At 50.6% G+C, this 19,920-nt stretch overlaps 1 protein-coding gene, 1 non-coding gene and 1 pseudogene across 7 annotated transcripts in view, besides 1 other annotated feature; all 3 read left to right on the top strand.

Annotated features, from left to right (window-relative positions):
- Nucleotides 1–15,843, top strand: part of DHRS3 (dehydrogenase/reductase 3) — a 50,301-nt gene extending 34,458 nt beyond the window's left edge. For 5 of the 6 annotated variants that reach the window (NM_004753.7, NM_001319225.2, XM_047434406.1 and 2 more), the window contains exons 2-6: nt 3,087–3,230; nt 4,341–4,460; nt 4,797–5,035; nt 10,900–11,025; nt 15,329–15,843. In NM_004753.7, the coding sequence (NP_004744.2) occupies nt 3,087–3,230; nt 4,341–4,460; nt 4,797–5,035; nt 10,900–11,025; nt 15,329–15,413 (714 nt within the window). In that variant the 3' untranslated portion in view covers nt 15,414–15,843. The remainder of the gene's footprint in view (nt 1–3,086; nt 3,231–4,340; nt 4,461–4,796; nt 5,036–10,899; nt 11,026–15,328) is intronic. The other variant, XM_006711036.3, reaches the window with a different exon arrangement.
- Nucleotides 4,730–4,796, top strand: MIR6730 (microRNA 6730). The gene has a single exon (NR_106788.2). It is a non-coding gene; the product is annotated as a microRNA 6730 (primary transcript).
- Nucleotides 9,578–9,872: an enhancer, noted in NCBI's record as "tiled region #5682; K562 Activating DNase matched - State 14:Gen5'". NCBI's record gives its function as "activates a minimal TATA promoter and a strong SV40 promoter by Sharpr-MPRA in K562 cells {active_cell/tissue: K562}" and the evidence as "EXISTENCE:reporter gene assay evidence [ECO:0000049][PMID:27701403]".
- On the top strand, nt 13,681–13,781 carry RNU6ATAC18P (RNA, U6atac small nuclear 18, pseudogene; annotated as a pseudogene).
- Nucleotides 15,844–19,920: the final 4,077 nt, after the last annotated feature.

Genomic DNA, 19,920 nt, shown 5'->3' with positions numbered 1-19,920 from the left:
GGTGAGTGCATGGATGGATGCATGAATGGATGGAGTAGGGTAGGTGAGTGGATGAATGGGTGGATGGATGGATGGACAGATGAATGGATGGATGGATGGAGTGGGGTATGTGAGGGAGGGATGGATGGATGGATGGATGGATGGATGGATGGATGGATGGATAAGTAGGTGAGTGGATGGATGGGTGGATGGATGGGTGGATGGAGTGGGGTGGGTGAGGGATGGATGGGTGGATGGATGGATGGATGGATGGATGGATAAGTAGGTGAGTGGATGGGTGGATGGATGGATGGATAAGTAGGTGAGTGGATGGATGGATGGATGGATGGATGGATAAGTAGGTGAGTGGATGGATGGATGGATGGATGGGGTGGGGTGGGTGAGGAATGGATGGGTGGGTGGATGGATGGATGGATGGATGGATGGATGAATGGAGTAGGGTAGGTGAGTGGATAGACTAATGGAATGGGGTAAGTGAGGGGATGGGTAGATGGAGTTGGGTAGGTGAGTGGGTACAGTGGGGTAGGTGAGGGATGGATAGATGGATGGATGGGTGGAGAAGCAGGTGAGTGGATGGATGGATGGAGTGGGGTGGGTGAGTGGATGGATGGAGTAGGGTAGGTGTGTGGATGAATGCATGGATGGATGGATGGAGTGGGATAGGTGAGTGGACAGATTAATGGAATGGGGTAGGTGAGTGGATGAGTGGATGGAGTTGGGTAGGTGAGTGGGTACAGTGGGTACAGTGGGGTAGGTGAGGGATGGATAGATGGATGGATGGGTGGAGAAGTAGGTGAGTGGATGGATGGATGGAGTGGGGTGGGTAAGTGGATGGATGGATGCATGGATGGATGGAGTAGGGTAGATGAGGGAGGGAGGGATGGATGGATGGATGGATGGATGGATGGATGGAGTTGGGTAGACGAGGGAGGGATGGATGGATGAAGTGTGGTGGATAGATGGATGGACTGGTGAACGGGAGAGTGGACGGATGGACAGATAGATGGATGGGTGGCTGTATACACAGGATGATAAGGGAGGAATAAAGGAACCTGGATGACAATGGCTGCAAGGCAAGGCGGGGGGTGGTCCAGAGGAGTGGAGGAGGCCTACACCAAATTGCCTGCCTGGAACAAATGTTTGTCTTTTTTCTTTTCCATGAACTGAACCTCCCAGCTTCTCCTGGAGGAACACATTCTGTTTTTAGTTCAACAGACAAGAAAGTGTCCCTTGGAGCCTGTTTAATTGCAGTCCATCTGCCTTTGAAGGACTTGTACCGTCATTGAGAGGAACTGACGGGACCCACTTGTTAAGCCCTTCCTGTATTTCAAGACCTTAATTAAAATAAAGTGGCTAGACTAAGTGGGGTTTTCAAACTGGGCTTTAGAGAACACTTATTTTTTTGTAAAATATTTTGAAAGCTTTTAAAACTCTAATTTAAAAAATCGATTCCATTGGAGAATACCGGAATTTCTGAGAGCCGCCAGCTAGGCCTGTTTTGTGCCCTCTCTGCTTAAGTGACAGTCTTGAGATTTCAAGGTGAGCAGCGGATAAACGGTTACCATTAGCAACTCCTTATCAATGTGACTTTTCTCTATACCGTGTAACAAAGCAAAATAGAGAAATCAGTTGGATCTGGGTCTGATGTCATTGGAGCCGCCATCTGTAACCCCCAGTTTAAAATGTTTACCTTCCCAAAGCAGCCATTTTGTTCTCATTAGCAACCTTTAGAGTAAGAAAATATTATGGAGTCAGGTGTTTTATTCCTTTTCTAGGTTTCACGCGTTGGGGTTTCCACGTTGGATATTTTTTAAGGGGGAATTTCACTGATAGTCTTAAATAAAAGAGAAAAGAAACAAAAATAGAAGCCCACCGGACGAATTCCCAAAACCCTTTCGGCTCTTCCTGTCTCTGCTTCTGACCTCTGGGCGGTGTTCAGCCCCCTGCCTTTCTCCCTCTGTGCTGGTGAAGCTGGTTCTTAGTTAGGGCTCTTGGTCCCCCTGTCATCCGACTCCAGGCCCTTTTACCAACAGAGGCCTCACTGACCCCAGTGACACATCGTGGGGAGGTGCGTCGTCCTCCGTTAGGTCAAGGTTAAGAATTAGCCAGGCTTCTCTTCTGAGCCTTTTATGGGCTGGCCATTCATAAATTTGCCCAAACCCTCAGTGGTCCTGCCAAGGTCACCTTCTGGCGTAATGAGTCCATGTTTGTTACCTGCCGGGTGAGGCCATGCTTCCTTCTCAGTGGCAGCCTCGTCACTGCCCTTCCAGAATATCCTTAGGGGAGTGACTGAAGCTAGATGGGAGGCTCGGCTTAGCTCCTGTGAACCTTGAGGCTGGAATGGTCCCATCTATGCTACCAGCTGGTCTTAATAATCCTGGCTCTAGACCTAATCGGTGAAGCCAGCTGATTCCTAATGGAGAGCATTCTGGAGCATTGTGCATAAAGAGCTCTGCTGTTGCCTCTACATTTACAGGAAATGAACTGCACTGGCAGGAGGCAGCCTGCTAAAAGTAATATACAAGAAAAACTTGTAAATACACATCAATTGATTGATCATAAGTGGGCTCAGAAACTACTGGTTCACTTAAAAGTAGATCATATCCCTTTAAAAAGTTATATTGTTGGCTGGGGGCAGTGGCTCATACCTGTAATCCCAGCACTTGAGAGGCCGAGGTGGGAGGATTGCTTGAACCCAGGAGTTCAAGACCAGCCTGGGCAACATAAGAATACCCCTACTCTACAAAATTTTTTTTAAAAAAATTAGCTAGGTATGGTAGCATGCACCTGTGGTCCCAGCCACTCCGGAGGCTGGGATGGGAGGATCTCTTGAGCCCAGGAGTTTGAGGCTGCAGTGAGCTATGATCGCACTGCTGCGTTCTAGCCTGGGCAACAGAAGAAGATCCTGCCTCAAAAAAAACAAAAGTTATATTATTAATCTATGTTGTATTCTTTATCTTTGGGTGGAACCAGGGAGGCCAGTCATTTCAAGACAAATGACTTTAAATCCTGAATTTCTGGTGGCAATTGTTGCATCACTGTGGCTTAATGACCATTTGTTCTGCGTTGTTATTATCTTCTTCCAGATTGTTCTCTGGGGCCGGACTGAGAAATGCCTGAAGGAGACGACGGAGGAGATCCGGCAGATGGGCACTGAGTGCCATTACTTCATCTGTGATGTGGGCAACCGGGAGGAGGTGTACCAGACGGCCAAGGCCGTCCGGGAGAAGGTCTGTAGCCTGGGAGGGTCTATTCCTAGCACAGCTGACCACAGGCTAATTCCGGGCAAAGAGAACATTCTCATGTGGCCTGGAAGAGAGCTCTGCTTATGGCAGAATGGCTTTGCCCGGGGCACCTTTGGGGACTCTCCCATGAAGCTGGCCCCAGTTACATAGGCAGGGATTAGGGTTGATTACGTAACAGGCGTAATCATCTGTTGTTCCCTTGGAAATGTAGACCGTGTGGGTTTCTCTCCAGGACTGTGGCGGGGCAAATGTCCCATTGGCCTCTGGGAAAATCCTTCTGACTCCAGTCATCTGTTTGGGCTAAATATATCAGTGACCTCCAAGAGAGGGAAACCCACCCTGACTGTCTGGCACGTGGTAATGTTAACTGTTTTTATGTCGCAGTAAACTCATTTATTATAAATATGCTGTGTGCCAGGTACGGTGTGTGCCATAAATTATTTCTCCTCCTCAGAACAGTCCTGGTGCGGCATTAGCCCCATCTCACAAATCAAGACTGGCGCTCAGAGACGCAGTTCTCTTCCCCAGGCCCTGTGGCTGCTGGTGGTACGGCCAGGTGGCTGCTGGGCCTCTATGTATGCAGGATAACTGGAACTAGGCTGGCAGAAAGTGGCCTGCGGGAAGGAATATCTAAGAAAAACTTGTAAATAACACATCAATTGATTGATCATAAATGGACTCAGAAATTACTCGTTCACTTAGGAGTAAGCCATATCCCTTTTAAAAAGTATATTGGACCGGGTGCGGTGGCTCACACCTGTAATCCCAGCATTTTGGGAGACCGAGGCAGGCGGGTCACTTGAGGTCAGAACAAGATTAGCCTGGCCAACATGGTGAAACCCCATCTCTACTAAAAATATAAAAATTAGCCAGGCATGGTGGCAGGAGCCTGTAATCCCAGCTACTTGGGAGGCTGAGGCATGAGAATCGCTTGAACCCAGGAGGCGGAGGTGGCAGTGAGCCGAGATGGTGCCACTGCACTCCAGCCTGGACAACAGAGTGAGACTCCATCTCAAAAACAAACAAACAAAAAACATATATCGTTGGCCCTGGGCTGGCTGCCCTCATGGCCCCGTGGCTCCCTCTCGCCTGCAGGTGGGTGACATCACCATCCTGGTGAACAATGCCGCCGTGGTCCATGGGAAGAGCCTAATGGACAGTGATGATGATGCCCTCCTCAAGTCCCAACACATCAACACCCTGGGCCAGTTCTGGGTAAGGGCTATCCGGGGCCAGAGCCAGCCCCGGGCGTGCAGGGAGCCCAGGCAGGATGGAGGGGAGGGGATGATTTGCCAGGGCTTGGGCTCAGGCCAGCAGGGATGTCCACGAACAAGGTGGCCAGACAAGACGAATGACCAGCTCTAGGACACATCAGACTTTGTGAAATATGCTCGGTGTCCTGGGGCAGGGAGCCCTCGGCCCTCTCCCTCGCAGGAAGGCTCGGGCCCTAGAGCATCATGTGTGTCCGGGGTGGGCTGTTCTCCCCGAAAGAAAGGTGGAGGGGTTGTCAGAGCTGCAGCTGCTCCACCCTGACACCCCATCTGCCCTCAGACCACCAAGGCCTTCCTGCCGCGTATGCTGGAGCTGCAGAATGGCCACATCGTGTGCCTCAACTCCGTGCTGGCACTGTCTGCCATCCCCGGTGCCATCGACTACTGCACATCCAAAGCGTCAGCCTTCGCCTTCATGGAGAGCCTGACCCTGGGGCTGCTGGACTGTCCGGGAGTCAGCGCCACCACAGTGCTGCCCTTCCACACCAGCACCGAGATGTTCCAGGGCATGAGAGTCAGGTCAGTGAGCAGGGGACCCACCTTGAGACCAGCCTTCTCACCTGCCTCCCCAAGCCATTCAGTCAGCCAACTGCAGAAAGAGCTCTGATATAAAAATCGGGCTAGGCACGGTGCCTCATACCTATAATCCTAGCATTTTGGGAAGCCAAGGCAGGTGGATCGCTTGAGCCCAGCAATCCAGTTTGAGACCAGCCTGGGCAGCATGGAGAAACCCTGTGTCTAAAAAAAATAAAAAATTAGCTGGGCATGGTGATGCACACCTGTATTCCCAGCTATCTGGGAGGCTGAGGTGGGAGGATCAATTGCTTGAGCCCAGGAAGTTGAGGCTGCAAGTGAGCTGTGATTGTGCGACTGCACTCCAGCCTGGGAGAGAGAGTGAGACCCTGTCTCAAAACAAAAAGTCACCAAGGAGCCTCTACCCTCTGTTTGACGCTGTCTTACCTGGTTCTCGGTCTGCAAGGCAGTGATGCCACGATGGGGAGGGTCCTGCTGCTTGGTTCAGGGAGCTTATAGGAAACTACCAGAGCTACAGGCATGCAGCGGGATGTGTCTAAAGGTCAAATGAGGGAGATGCACCTCCACAGCGTCGTGCAGGGCGAAGGGAGCTTGAGACATAGGGTGCATTCTGCCTGGTTCCACCTGTATGAAGTTCCAAAACAGGCAAAACTGGGTTAGGGTGATGGAAATCAGACCCGTGGCTTCCCCTGGAGGGCTGGGGGTGTAACCTGGGAGGGAGGCGAGGGAACTAGCAAGACCTTCAGAAATGTTCTCTCTTCTTGAACTTAGCAGTCATTAAATACGTGAAAGTTAATCAAACTGTCTGCTTAAGATGTATACCTTTTGTTATATGCAAATTATAGCTCAATTTATTTGTTTGTTTATTTAGTTATTTATTGAGATGGAGTTTCGCTCCGTTGCCCAGGCTGGAGTGCAGTGGCGCGATCTCGGCTCACTGCAACCTCCACCTCCTGGGTTCAAGTGATTCTCCTGCCTCAGCCTCCCGAGTAGCTGGGATTACAGGCGTGCGCTTGCACCCAGCTAATTTTTGTATTTTTAATACAGACGGGGTTTCACTATGTCGGCCAGGCTGATCTCAAACTCCCAACCTCAGGTGATCCACCCACCTCAGCCTCCCAAAGTGCAGGGATGACAGGTGTGAGCCACCACGCCTGGCCGTAGCTCAATTTAAAATGAGTAATAGGGAGGTCCCACCACTCCTCCTCCAAACCAGTTAAGTCAAGGGGAACGGGGACCACTGGTCTAGAGCTCATGCCACCTGGGGTGGTGACTCCCTCATAGCTGTGATGTACTCTGTGACATTGGGTCCCGTTAATTACTGCTGTGGCTGATCTGCAAGATGGGGTGCGCGAATGTCTCCATCATAGGTTCTGCAGTGAGGACAAAGTGGAATCTGGCAGGGAACACCGTGTGTGGTACATATTAAGTGCCCAATAAATGGCGCTTTAATGATGTGCAGTTATGTAGGGGCATGACGTCATCGATGAATGAAAACCGGGAATTACTCAAATACTATTCTCCCTGGTTTTTTGCAATCCAGCGTACAGTGCTTCACCTTCTGATTATATATTGCAGCTGCTTCCAAAAATGAGGATGACACGGAAGGGTCATGAGGAGAATTCAGTGAGACAATTTAGTGTAGTGCATGCCACGTGGGAGTCACTCATTACGCCTTAGTTACTATTAATCGGGACAGTGCGGTGTTGATTGTTGAGAATCAAAAATACCGGGCTTGGTGGCTCATGACTGCAATCCCAGCACTTTGGGAGGCTGAGGCAGGAGGATGGCTTGAGCCCAGGAAATTAGAAATAATACATGTAACACATCTAGTGCAAAGCCCGGATACTAGATGCTCAATAAGGAGCTGCTGCTTTTATTATTTTTCCTAACAATAAACATCTTCATAAATGCATGTTATTAATTTTCCTAGCAGACCACCTGGTTTGCATGCAAATTGTCATCAATTCTGAATTTCGAGGAGTCTAGACTAATGGCTACTAATGTTTCCTGTTGGCTTTTTCCCCCATGGGTTTTGGTTTGGTTTCTTTTCATCTGAGTATACAGAAGGTGCTCAATAAATGCATACTGGACAGAAGTGCATCAGTGGCAGTCTGCAGTTTTGTTTTGTTTTTTTTTTTAAGACGGAATCTTGCTCTGTCGCCCAGGCTGGAGTGCAGTGGTGCCATCTCGGCTCACTGCAAGCTCCGTCTCCCGGGTTCATGCCATTCTCCTGCCTCAGCCTCCCAAGTAGCTGGGACTACAGGTGCCCACCACCACGCCCAGCTAATTTTTTGTATTTTTGGTAGAGACAGGGTTTCACCGTGTTAGCCAGGATGGTCTCAATCTCCTGACCTCGTGATCCGTCCACCTCGGCCTCCCAAAGTGCTGGGATTACAGGCGTGAGCCACCACGCCCAGCCGGCAGTCTGCAGTTCTAATTGGGTGTCCTGAGCACAGAAGCAAGCAGGACATTGCAGACATCGAGTTTGTGTGTCTATTTCACCTTCTAGCATAGCTTCTTTCCTACCACTTTAAGAAGGAAATTCAAGGTTTTCCTGCCACATTTTTTCAGAGCGTGAACCCAAACTGCCTGGGGTCAAATCCCAGCTCTGTGTGACCTTGGCCAAGTTACTTGACTTTTCTCTGCTTCAGTTTCCTCACCTCTAAAAAGAGATTCATAATAATAGTATCCCCAGCTGGGCACGGTGGCTCACGCCTGTAATCCCAGCACTTTGGGAGGCCAAGGCGGGCAGGTCACCTGAGGTCAGGAGTTCAAGACCAGCCTGGCCAACACGGTGAAACCCTGTCTCTACTAAAAATACAAAAATTAGCCAGGCATGGTGGTGGGTGCCTGTAATCCCAGCTACTCAGGAGGCTGAGGCAGGAGGATCGCTTGAACCTGGGAGGTGGAGGTTGCAGTGAGCTGAGATTGCACAATTGCACTCCAGCCTGGGCAACACAGCAAGACCCCACCTCAAAAATGAATAATAATAATAATAATAATAGTATCCCCTTTTCATGGGTTAGATGAGCTCCTGTGTGTGAGTCATCTGGCCACGCCTGGCAAGTAGCAAGCACTAGGTGAACATTAGCTACCTATGGTTGTGCAGGGGAGCCCCAAGGGCTCGGCCAGAAGAGTAGTACAAGGAAGATGGGTACCTAACCAACTCCCATTTCCTAAAAGAATAAAAAATGGATAAAAGCATGGGTTTCCTCCTACAACCATGCTTAGCAGCCTCCCAGGGTTAAATGGGTTAAATGTGAAGACATGTTTAGGACAAAATGAGTGAGTTTCCCAGCAAGACTGGCCATGTCAGTGGATGTTATTGTTTATAAATTGCTATTTATTGAGCCTCTTTTTTTTTTTTTCTTTTGATACAAAGTCTTGCTCTGTCGCCCAGGCTAGAGTGCAGTCATGTGATCTTGGCTCACTGCAACCTCCGCCTCCCAGGTTCAAGCAATTCTCCTGTCTCAGCCTCCCGAGTAGCTGGGATTACAGGCACCTGACTCCATGCCCGGCTAATTTTTGTATTTTTGGTAGAGACAGTGTTTCGCCGTGTTGCCCAGGCTGGTCTTGAACTCCTGGCCTCAAGTGATCCACCTGCCTCAGCCTCCCAAAGTGCTGGGGTTACAGGCATGAGCCACCACGCCCAGCCAATTGAGCCTCTTCGATGTTCCAGCCATAGAACCACCTAGAACCACTAGACACTTTACAAGTGCTGCTGCATTTGGCCCTCACAGCAACCCTGGAAGAGAGCTTTTATTCCCATTTTACAGATGAGGGAACTGAGGCTCAGAGAAGCAAAGTTACCTGCCCAAGTCCACATAGCTTGAAACTGGCTAGCTAAGCATGCTTCTTCCACGAATTTGCACTGCTTCCATGGGAGTTAATAGCTGTGCCAGTTCCCCGTGTCCCCATCCCACACACCGTGGAGAGGAAGGAGAAAATCCTGCGCACAGACGTGCTTGAGGCCTCCTCTGTCGGCTTCCCTGGCAGGGGTCTTACCAAGAAGGATTCCCGTCAAGCCCATGGACTTTGGTCTGTCCATCCTGCCTTCCCTTTCCCAAGAGACAGGCCAGGCCACAGGTGGAAGCCAGAGAATCCAGACCGCCCACGACACCTGTAGGACTCCAGTATCAGTGAGCTGCCTCAACACGTTCATCTCTGTAGAATGGCAGAGGCTGGCCCCTCTTGACCACAGGGCTGTGGGCCTCAGAATCACCATCATGGCCAGGCGTGGTAGCTGGGTTCACACCAGTAATCCCAGTGCTTTGGGAGGCTGAGGCAGGGGAATCACTTCAGCCCAGGAGTTGCCAGCCTGGGCAACATGGCAAAACCCCATCTCTACAAAAAATATAAAAATTATCTGGGCATGGTGTGTGCACCTGTAGTCCCAGCTACTCGGGTGGCTGAGGCAGGAGGATTACTTGAGCCCAGGGAGGTCGAGGCTGCAGTGAGCTGTGATCACGTCACTGCACTCCAGCCTGGGTAACAAAGTGAGACCCTGGACTCAAAAATAAAAAATAAAAAAAGAATCATCATTGTGATGACAAAGGAATTACAGGGCAGGGGGTAAGATTCATGTACCCTCTGAGGCCAAACCCCTGCTGGGAGTCCAAGGGCTGCCTGTTGCTGAGGAATGACATCAAACCTGGGTGATTCATCACCCTTAATCTTCCTGGTGCCAGAGCGGATCACAAGCTCTTTGTGGGATTGGGGTCAGAGCCAGCAACATGAGCCCTGCACCTATAGATCCAGGAAGGGCAGGAAGAGCAGTGAGCAAAGGTGATAGAGCATTGGCCAGGTTTGAATCCTTAGCGCCCTACTGACTCAATACAGCCTCGGTTTCCTTATCTGTAAATCAGGAGAATAATTTGTACATGAGTCTGGCACGTAGGGAACATCATCATTGTTTGGATCTAGGGTCAGATGCTTTTAAATAGTCATGAGAAGCCCCTGATGTTTGCTTATGCAATCATTCATTCATTCATTTTGAGATCCCATGGAAAGCACTGTGCAAATCTTTGAATCAATGAATCAGTGAGTGAGTTAGTGAACCAGCAAGCTGAGCCCCAGCCATCGCTAGCCAAGCCCCTGCCTCCAGACAGAATGAGCAGGACACATTTGGGAAGCAGCAAGTCATCAGTGTGTTCAGTCCTTCAAGTATTTATTGAGCACATACTATGTATCAGATGCTGTGCTAGATGCAGGGGAGCAGGACCGACCAGGCCTCCACCCTCATGGAACTCATTGCCTGATGGCGGAGACAGGCCACTGACAAGGAAACAACCCAAAAAGCAAGGTCTTCCTAGGTGGGGTGAACGCGGTCAAGGAAATTAGCAGGGGACAGGATCAGAGGTCGCTTTGGATGGACTGGCCTGAAATGTCTCCCAAAGGAGGAGCTGGGAGGAGAGAGCCAGGCTGTTGAGAGAGCTGGCAAAAAGCCCTGACCCGAGCATGTGATGTGACAAGAACAGAAATGGGCCTGTCCTGAAGGAGCAGAGTGTAGGGAAAAGGACTCAGAAGGACAACCAGGGCCCAGATTACGCAGGGCCATGGAAAGGCCAAGCCCTAGGGCACTGGGAGCCCTTGGAGGGCTTGGGAGAGTGGGTCCCCAGTGGGTGGGCTAGAAGTCCTTGACTCAAGAAGAGACCCCTGTGTGCCTGGAGGAGTGAGGGAATGTGGCACCTGGATGGGTGTGGGGTAGAGGGAGTATTCCAAGCAGGCCTCGAATCTCTCAGACAGGAAAAGCCAAAGGGTGACCCAGACATGTCAGCCTCATAAAGACTTCCAGATAAGCACATGCCTCTCCAGGAGAAACCCACTGTGTCTCTTCCTGTGTTCAGGTTTCCCAACCTCTTTCCCCCACTGAAGCCGGAGACGGTGGCCCGGAGGACAGTGGAAGCTGTGCAGCTCAACCAGGCCCTCCTCCTCCTCCCATGGACAATGCATGCCCTCGTTATCTTGAAAAGGTATGGGGCTGGGAAAGAACACTCTGGGTCAGGGGAAAGTACGCATGTGATCTATTAGTCATGTCTGCTGCGGGCATGAGCATGAGGAGTGCTGGCACATTTGCTGCTGATGTACTGTACTTACTGTGGGGCAGCAGTTCTCAAACTTGTTAGTCACGGGGCCCCTTAGAGTTTTAAAAAGTATGGAGGAACCCAAAGAGCTTTTGTTAATGTGAGTTGTAGCTATCGCTATTTACTATATTAGAAATTAAAAGCCAGGGCCAGGCGCAGTGGCTCACGCCTGTAATCCTAGCACTTTGGGAGGCCGAGGCAGGTGGATCACGAGGTCAAGAGATTGAGACCATCCTGGCTAAAATGGCGAAACCTTGTCTCTACTAAAAATACAAAAAGAAAGTAGCTGGGCATGGTGGTGGGCGCCTGTAGTCTTAGCTACTCGGGAGGCTGAGGCAGGAGAATGGTGTGAACCCAGGAGGTGGAGCTTGCAGTGAGCCGAGATCGTGCCACTGCACTCCAGCCTGGGTGACTCAGCAAGACTCCATCTCAAAAAAGAAATTAAAAGCCAGAAAAATGTTGTAAGTTGTATACATTTGTTTATAATATTTATTCATTTATAAATAGCTATAACAAACCCATTACATTAATATAAATATATTTTTATGACAACTAGTTATGTATTCTAAAACAAAATAAATGTAGTCAGGAGTGGCATTGTTCTACCTTTTTGCAAATCTCTTTGTTTGGCTTAATTGAAGACAATTGGATTCTTATATGTGCATCTGATTTCAATTTGTTGTGATATCTCGTGTCACGTAGCCTCTGGAAAATTCTACCATTCACTGAGAGAATGAAAGTGAAAAGACAAATAACATCTTAGTATTATTACAGAAACAATGTGGCCGGGCACGGTGGCTCACGCCTGTAATCCCAGCACTTTGGGAGGCCGAGGTGGGTGGATCACCTGAGGTTGGGAGTTCGAGACCAGCCTGACCAACATGGAGAAACCCTGTCTGTACTAAAAATACAAAAAAAATTAGCTGGGTGTGGTGGCGTGTGCCTGTAATCCCAGCTACCTGGGAGGCTGAGGCAGGAAAATTGCCGGAACCCAGGAGGCAGAGGTTGAGGTGAGCCGAGATCGCACCACCGCACTCCAGCCTGGGCAACAAGAACAAGACTCCGTCTCAAAAAAAAAAAAAAAAAAAAATTGACCTCACAGACCCCTGAAGAGATCCCGGGTACCCCAAAGGTTCCTGGACCTCACTTTGAGAACCACTGTTCTACAGCCTATTGGACATAGCCCCTGCCCTCAGGAAGTTTACTATTAGAGGGAACATGGGGATCTTGATGCCAAGGGCTCAGAATTCACAGAAGCGTCTTAGTACCAGTCGGGTGGGATGTAGCAGGGCAGACCACTTTGGGGAGGCAGGCTTTATAAATGAGAGACTCCTCCTCCAGAATTTGCCTGGCATCCTATTCCCCTAGAACTTTCCAGGCTTTGTGCAGCAAATCCTTCCCATCCCAGTCCCACACTCAGTTTTCTTGGGCCTCTTAGTACAGCAGGAGATCCTTGTCCCTGGTGCCACAAGTGACCATGGGCTCTTGGCTCCCCTGGGGCTCTGGCCCCCTCCTGACTGAGCCCCTCTGACCTGGAAGTCCTTTTCAGGAAGGTAAGCCCCCAAGTGCCAGGCTGGCCCCTGCTCTCATGCAACATGCACTCCCAGGAAAGCCAACTTCTGCCCTGGCTGCTGGGACATGGTGAGCCCCAGCTGAGGGGCTGCCCCAACACATGCAGGGCACAGAAACCTCGAAACTGAGGCGCAAGCCCGATCAGCCCTCTCTTCCCCAAACTCAAAGCCCTTTCAGAGGCACAGGGAAGGGGGCACCCAGGGGCATCCAGGCCACACCTCGGCCTCCCTCAGTCCATCCTGACCTCGGGTCTGAGATGCTCCTCAGCCGTCTCTAGGAGCCCCTAGTTGATCAGGGGCTCAGGTCCTCACTGAGGTCAGGCTGCCACCCTCCACCTCAGGGGAGCTTCTTAGAAGACTTCCAGAGCTTTCTAGAGAAAAGTTGGTCTAGAACACCTCAGCGCTCTCCACAGTAAGCCCTCAGCCTTCATTTTCCAACCTTCCCCACAACTACTTTTGAACAGGAAGCAGGAGCCACCCCGCTCCCCATTCTCTGAACTGCATCCCTCCTCACCTTCCCCAGGAGAAAGCAAGGCTCAACTCTAATACCACCACCCCCAGGAAGCCTTCCAGATTGCTCCAGCTGGAAGTGAACCCTTTTCATCTTGTACTTAGAGTGGGCCAGGACCCTTCAGTTTGAGTCACCAAACAGCCTGAGGGCCCTCTCTGTGCCGGGCCCATGTGAGGGCCTGGGGATCAGAGATGAAATACCCGCCATGAAGGCCCCCACAGGCTTGACAAGTAAACGGGTGGGGACTACACCAGGGCTTGCTGGGGAAGCGTCGGAACTCCGGTTGTACGAGGAGAAGCCTGAAGGTGAGCCCAGGACGCTTCCCCAGAGGATGTGACACCCAAATCGAACCTGATTCCTCAGATCCACACCGTCATCTTTGTGGAATCAGGGGCAGTTGGGATCGATGGATCTCTGAGCTGCCTGTGGGCACCAAGATGCTAAGAGCCTGGTTTTGAAAGTGTGTTGTATGAAGGGAGAGAAGGTCAGCACTCCCCTCGACAAGGAGCACAGACAGATTAAGCCATTGTCACCTACTTAGTGGCACCTAACCATCATTTGTTTTTAATGGGTACAAAAAATAGACCGAATAAGAACAAGTCTTTGATAGCACAGCAGGGTGACTATAGTTAATAATAATTTAATTGTACGATTAAAAATAACTAAAAGGGCCGGGCGCAGTGGCTCACGCCTATAATCCCAGCACTTTGGAAGGCCGAGGCAGGCAGATCACCTGAGGTCAGGAGTTCAAGACCAGCCTGGCCAACATGGCGAAACCCTGTCTCTACTAAAAATACAGAAATTAGGCGGGCATGGTGGCGCATGCCTGTAATTCCAGCTTCTCAGGAGGCTCAGGCAGGAAAATCACTTGAACCCAGGAAGCAGAGGTTGCAGTGACCCCAGATCGCACCACTGCACTCCAGCCTGGGCAACAGAGTGAGACTCTGTCTCAAAAAAATATAATAAACATAAAAATAAATAAAAAAACTAAAAGAGTATAGTTGGATTGTTTGTAACACAACAGATAAATGCTTGAGGTGATGGATACCCCATTTATGCTGATGTGATTATTATACATTTGCATGCCTGTATCAAAGTATTTCATGTACCCCATAAATATATATACCTACTATGTACCCACAAAAATTAAAAATAAAAAAATGAGCTCTGTTTCAGGATCTAGGAAAAAGATAAAAATTTTAAATTAAAAAAAAAGTTTGCTCTGACCACTCACTCACTCTCTGCCTTTTTAAAATATATATTTTAAAAAGAGTGTGTGTGTGTGTGTGTGTGTGTGTGTGTGAGAGAGAGAGAGAGGGGACAGAGTTTTACTCTTGTCGCCCAGGCTGGAGTGCAACGGCGCGATCTCGGCCCACCGAAACCTCCGCCTCCCAGGTCAAGCAATTCTCCTGCCTCAGTCTCCCGAGTAGCTGGGATTACAGGTGCCCACCACCACGCCCAGCTAATTTTTGTATTTTTAGTAAAGACAGGGTTTTGCCATGTTGGCTAGGCTGTTCTCGAACTCCTGAGGTGATCCACCCACCTTGGCCTCCCAAAGTGCTGGGATTACAGGCATGAGCCACCACGCCCAGTCTGAAAAGAATTTTTGAGACAGGGTCTGGCTCTGCCACCCAGGCTGGAATGCAGCGGTACAATCTCAGCTCACTTCAACCTCCACCTCTTGGGTTCAAGCCATCCTCCCACCTCAGCCTCCCCAGTAGCTAGGACTATAGGCACATGCCACCATGCCCAGCTAATTTTTGTATATTTTTGTAGAGACAGGGTTTCACCATATTGCCCAGGCTGGTCTTGAATTCCTGGGCTCAAGCGATCCGCCCATCTCGGCCTCCCAAAGTACTTGGATTATAGACATGAGCCACCGCGCCCAGCCTCCCCCTGCCCTTTTAACAGCTGCTTATCCACTTATTTGAAAGCTCTTCCCCTGGGGAGGGTGGGGGTTTGGGGAGAAACTGGTGTGTGGCTTGGAGGTGTGGGGAGCACTTTCAGGAACCAGCCCTCTGCTGCCCCGTCTCACATGGCCACCAGCGACCCAGCCCCTGGATCCTGCCCCACTAACCATCGCTATCTTCTTTTCTTCCTCCTACTCCAGCATACTTCCACAGGCTGCACTCGAGGAGATCCACAAATTCTCAGGAACCTACACCTGCATGAACACTTTCAAAGGGCGGACATAGAGACAGGATGAAGACATGCTTGAGGAGCCACGGAGTTTGGGGGCCACAGCACCTGGGCACACACCCGAGCACCTGTCCATTGGCATGCTTCTGCTGGGTGAGCAGGACAGCTCCTGTCCCCAGCGAAGAATCCGGCTGCCCCTGGGCCAGTCCCAGGACCTTTGCACAGGACTGATGGGTATAACTGACCCCCACAGGGAGGCAGGAAAACAGCCAGAAGCCACCTTGACACTTTTGAACATTTCCAGTTCTGTAGAGTTTATTGTCAATTGCTTCTCAAGTCTAACCAGCCTCAGCAGTGTGCATAGACCATTTCCAGGAGGGTCTGTCCCCAGATGCTCTGCCTCCCGTTCCAAAACCCACTCATCCTCAGCTTGCACAAACTGGTTGAACGGCAGGAATGAAAAATAAAGAGAGATGGCTTTTGTGATTTCCTTTGTTCAAATCTTCCGTGGGCAGTTGGGAGGGAGCCAGTCCCAACCATAAAACTCCATCCTTTGAGAGAGAACTGGTCAGTTCAAGGTCCCCAACTGCCAAGGGTGGAGAGAAGGGGGCCGAAATCAGGAGAGAAAGTGGAGCCCAGGCCTAGGGGCAGAGAGGGGTGCTGGGTTCCTCGCCAGCTCCACCAGGCCCCTCCCAGCAGCCATGGGTTGAAGCCGCTTTGTCTCCTTGGTGTGACCTTTATGAAACAGTCTGCAAACAGCTGGCCACAGCTAGAGATGCCCTCTGTCCTGCCATGGCACCACCAGCCTCCAGGCCACCAACTCAGGAGAGCAAAACCAGTGTTTATGGAGCACCCACTGTCTACCTAGGGTGTGTGTGGTGCAGAGAGGGGAACGTTGCTGAGAAGAACCACTAGTACAAGAAGCCAATAATCTGGGTAGGAAAGGATCACAAGTCACCGGAAACACAGTGACAACTCCTCACCATAAGGCCAGTGCCGAGGGGTGCTACAGACCGAGTCCCATTTGATCACAGGGGCAGGGGGAGGTCTGGAGTGGCAGAAGAGATCGGCCCTGGTTCCATCAATGGGGCAAAGTCACGGCCAAAATGACCTAGTAGAGATGCCCCCTGCTTCCTCCAGGGTGCACGCTCCCTGCTGCCACAAGCTTAATAAACCTCACCTTGGGCAGTGGGGAAGAAAGTGGGCCATGTCATTTCATAGCAAGTAAACTCCATTCCACACAGCTCTTGCAGATGAGTGCCAGGGTGGCAGGAGGGGAGCAGGCAAGGTCCCCGGGAGGTGAAGGAGGTCACAGCCCTCTGACCCAACCCAGAAGCTTCCCCAAGAGTTACATAAAGTCTTAACCTACATGCAAACCTCAGGCTGAAACCTCCCAGCTTAGAGAATATTAGACATAGCTCAGGTGATCATCAGTCTGGTCTATGTGCAGAAATGCCAAGTCACGATTATAGCCATGCTTTTTTTCTTCTTCTCTTTTTTTTTTTTTTAAACATGGGAACTTGCTCTGTCACCCAGGCTGGAGTGTGGAGTGGAATGGCACAATCACGGCTCACTGCAGCCTCAACCTCCTGGGCTCAAACAATCCTCCACCTCAGCCTCCGGAGTTGCTGGGACTACAGGTGCATGCCACCACGCCCAACTGTTTTCTTTTTATTTTTCGTAAAGACAGAGGTCTTGCTATGTTGTCCAGGCTGGTCTTGAACCCCTAGGCTCAAGCAATCCTCCTCCCTCAGCCTCCCAAAGTGCTGGGATTACTGGAATGAGCTACCACGCCCGGCCTGTAGCCACTCTTGAATGAGTACCTAGAATGGAGGTCAGTCCCCAGGCATAACATTTTAACTCTTCATTATCCATGCCACTTGGCAGCAGCTGAAGACCAAAAAAACACAACTCCGAGACCGCTCTGGAGACTTCCAACAGCCTTGATGTGGCGCAGCCAGAATGTGACGCCCAAATCTCAGTGGCTTCCAACAATGAAGGTTTCTGCCTTATTACTGCTACTAGTCCTTCAAGAATGGCTACAGGTGTGCTCCGTGTCATCTTCGCTCTGAAACTCAGGCTGACCAGGGGGCCTCAGGGAGGATGTCTTATGGCACAGGGTAGACATACCTGGTGAACTGTGCACTGGCTCTTGAAGTTTCCACCTGGAAACAACACTGTCACTTCTGCTCACATTTCATTAGCTGGAACAGGGCACGTGGTGGAGCCGCTATTAACATAGCAGGAAATACAATCCCGCGTGGAGGAGTAGTCGTTAGTTCTGAACCAGGCTCTGCCATGCCAGGGAAGAAGACATCATGAGCAAAAATTAAAATATAGGTTGAGGACAGAGGGAAGCAGCTGTATGGCTTCCAACTGCAAGCCCAAGGACACAGTGACTTTTGGGAGGGCACAGGAGGTGCTAAGCAGAGCCCTAAAGAGGCAACTGTCAGTGTTCATCTCACGCTAAACTTATTTAGGTCCTCACTCTGTTGCCCAGGCTGGAGTGCAGTGGCCCGATCATGGCCACTGCAGCCTCCACCTCCCAGGCTCAAGCAATCCTCCCACCTCAGCCTCTCGAGTAGCTGAGATTACAGGCATGTGCCACCACGCCTGGCTCACTTCATCATTTTTTTGTAAAGATAGGGTCTCGCTATGTTGCCCAGGCTAGTCTGGAATTCCTGGCTTAAGCAACCCTTCTGCCTTGACTTCCCAAAGGAGTGCAACAAGGATCCCTAAAGTCTGATTGGACTCTGGGAGTTGCAAGCCCCGCCAGCCCTCCCCAGTTGCATTGAGAACCAATCGCTGTGTTAGCAGAGTGGGACCCTGGCGTCCCAGAGCCCCAGGGGCTCAGAAGGGCAGGGCCTGGTCCCACCCCACCCCCTCCCTCTCAGCCAGGAGCTTTCAGTCTTTTTCTGGATCTTTTCCCAGAGGAACCAAAAGAAAAAGCACTGGGCAGAATCCCAGGAGGCCCCATTCTGGTCCCTCTCCCAGATGGTTTAGCACTCAGAGAGCCTTGAGAGTGAGCGTGGAGAGCTAATTCTGTCCTTAGCTTGGCCATGCAAAGAAGAGTGACAAGTGCCAAACCCCCAAGGGGCAGGATGGGGCAGGCCAACCCTGGGAAGAGGACTTGGGTCCTGGGAAATAACCTCATTGCCATGCTTAGGGTTCCTCCCCATCCCCAAGGAAAACCAGATTGGAGGTAGGGATCCAGCCCAGGGAGGCAGCAGACCCAAGCCCCATGCTGGCACCATTCCAGGGGCTTGGACTATCCGGCCTGGTGAATGGTCAGGAATTGAGTCTGTGGCCACTGCCCTGCTCCCAGGGGACAGAATGCTTTGACAAATGGACTTTCTTCTTCTTGAGCCAAACTGATGTCCGGGAGGGACCAGGGTGACAGAAAGCTCCTGGGCTGATCACACGGACAGCTCTGCCTGATGAGGCAGACAGCCCTTGCCCCTGGGGATGTCCCAGTTCAGTGGGGATCAAAAAAGGAGCCAGGTCACAAATACACGAACCCCACTGCCCCAGTCCTAATCAGCACAGAGGGAAGAAGATGGTTGTGGTTTGTGGACAAGAGGGTCATCTACGGTGAGAAGCAACCCCCACCCACCACAGCACATCTGGGACTTCTGACCCTGAGGGGTCTTCTCTGATATTCAGGAGAGGCCTTCCAGGGGAAGCAGGTCTGTGATAAGAACCCAGAGGTCTATGCCTGTGAAGAGGGCTTCTATATATGGGCACCCCTCACTTGAGGAAAAGCCAGGAGGTGACAAATGTCCCTTGTATTAGTTCATTCTCACACTGCTATAAAGAACTACCCAAGACTGGGTAATTTATAAAGAAAAGAGGTTTAATTGGCTCCTGGTTCCACAGGCTGTACAGGAAGCATGGCTGGGGAGGCCTCAGGAACATTAACCTCAGGAATCATGGCAGAAGGCAAAGGGGAAGCAATCACATCTTCACATGGCCAGCAGGAGAGAGACAGAAGGGGAGAATGCCACACACTTTTAAACAACGAGAGCTCATGAGAACTTACCCACTATCACAAGAATAGGGAGGGAGAAATCCGCCCTCATGATTCGATCACCTCCCACCAGGTCCCTCCCCCAACATTGGGGATTACAATTCAACATGAGATTTGAATGGAGACACAGAGCCAAAACATATGATTCCATCCCTGGCCCCTCCCAAATCTTATGTCTTTCTCACATTTCAAAACCAATTATGCCTTTCCAACAGTCTCCCAAAGTCTTAACTCATTCCAGCATTAGCTCAAAAGTCCAAATCCAAAGTCTCATCTGAGACAAGGCAAGTCCCTTCTGCCTATGAGCCTGTAAATCAAAACAAGTTAGTTACTTCCATGATACAATGGAGGTACAGGCATTGGGTAAATGCTCCCATTCCAAAGGGGAGAAATTGGCCAAAATAAAGGGGCTACAGACCCCACACAAGTCCAAAACCCAGCTGGGCAGTCATTAAATCTTAAAGTTCCAAAATAATCTCCTTTGACTCCATGTATCACATCCAGGCCACGATGACACAAGAAGTAGGTTCCCAAGG

The sequence above is a fragment of the Homo sapiens genome, chromosome 1, assembly GCF_000001405.40.
Source record: "Homo sapiens chromosome 1, GRCh38.p14 Primary Assembly".
Taxonomy (NCBI): Eukaryota; Metazoa; Chordata; class Mammalia; order Primates; family Hominidae; genus Homo; species Homo sapiens.
Note: the sequence above shows the minus strand (reverse complement) of the source record. Positions and strands in the feature narration are given on the sequence as shown.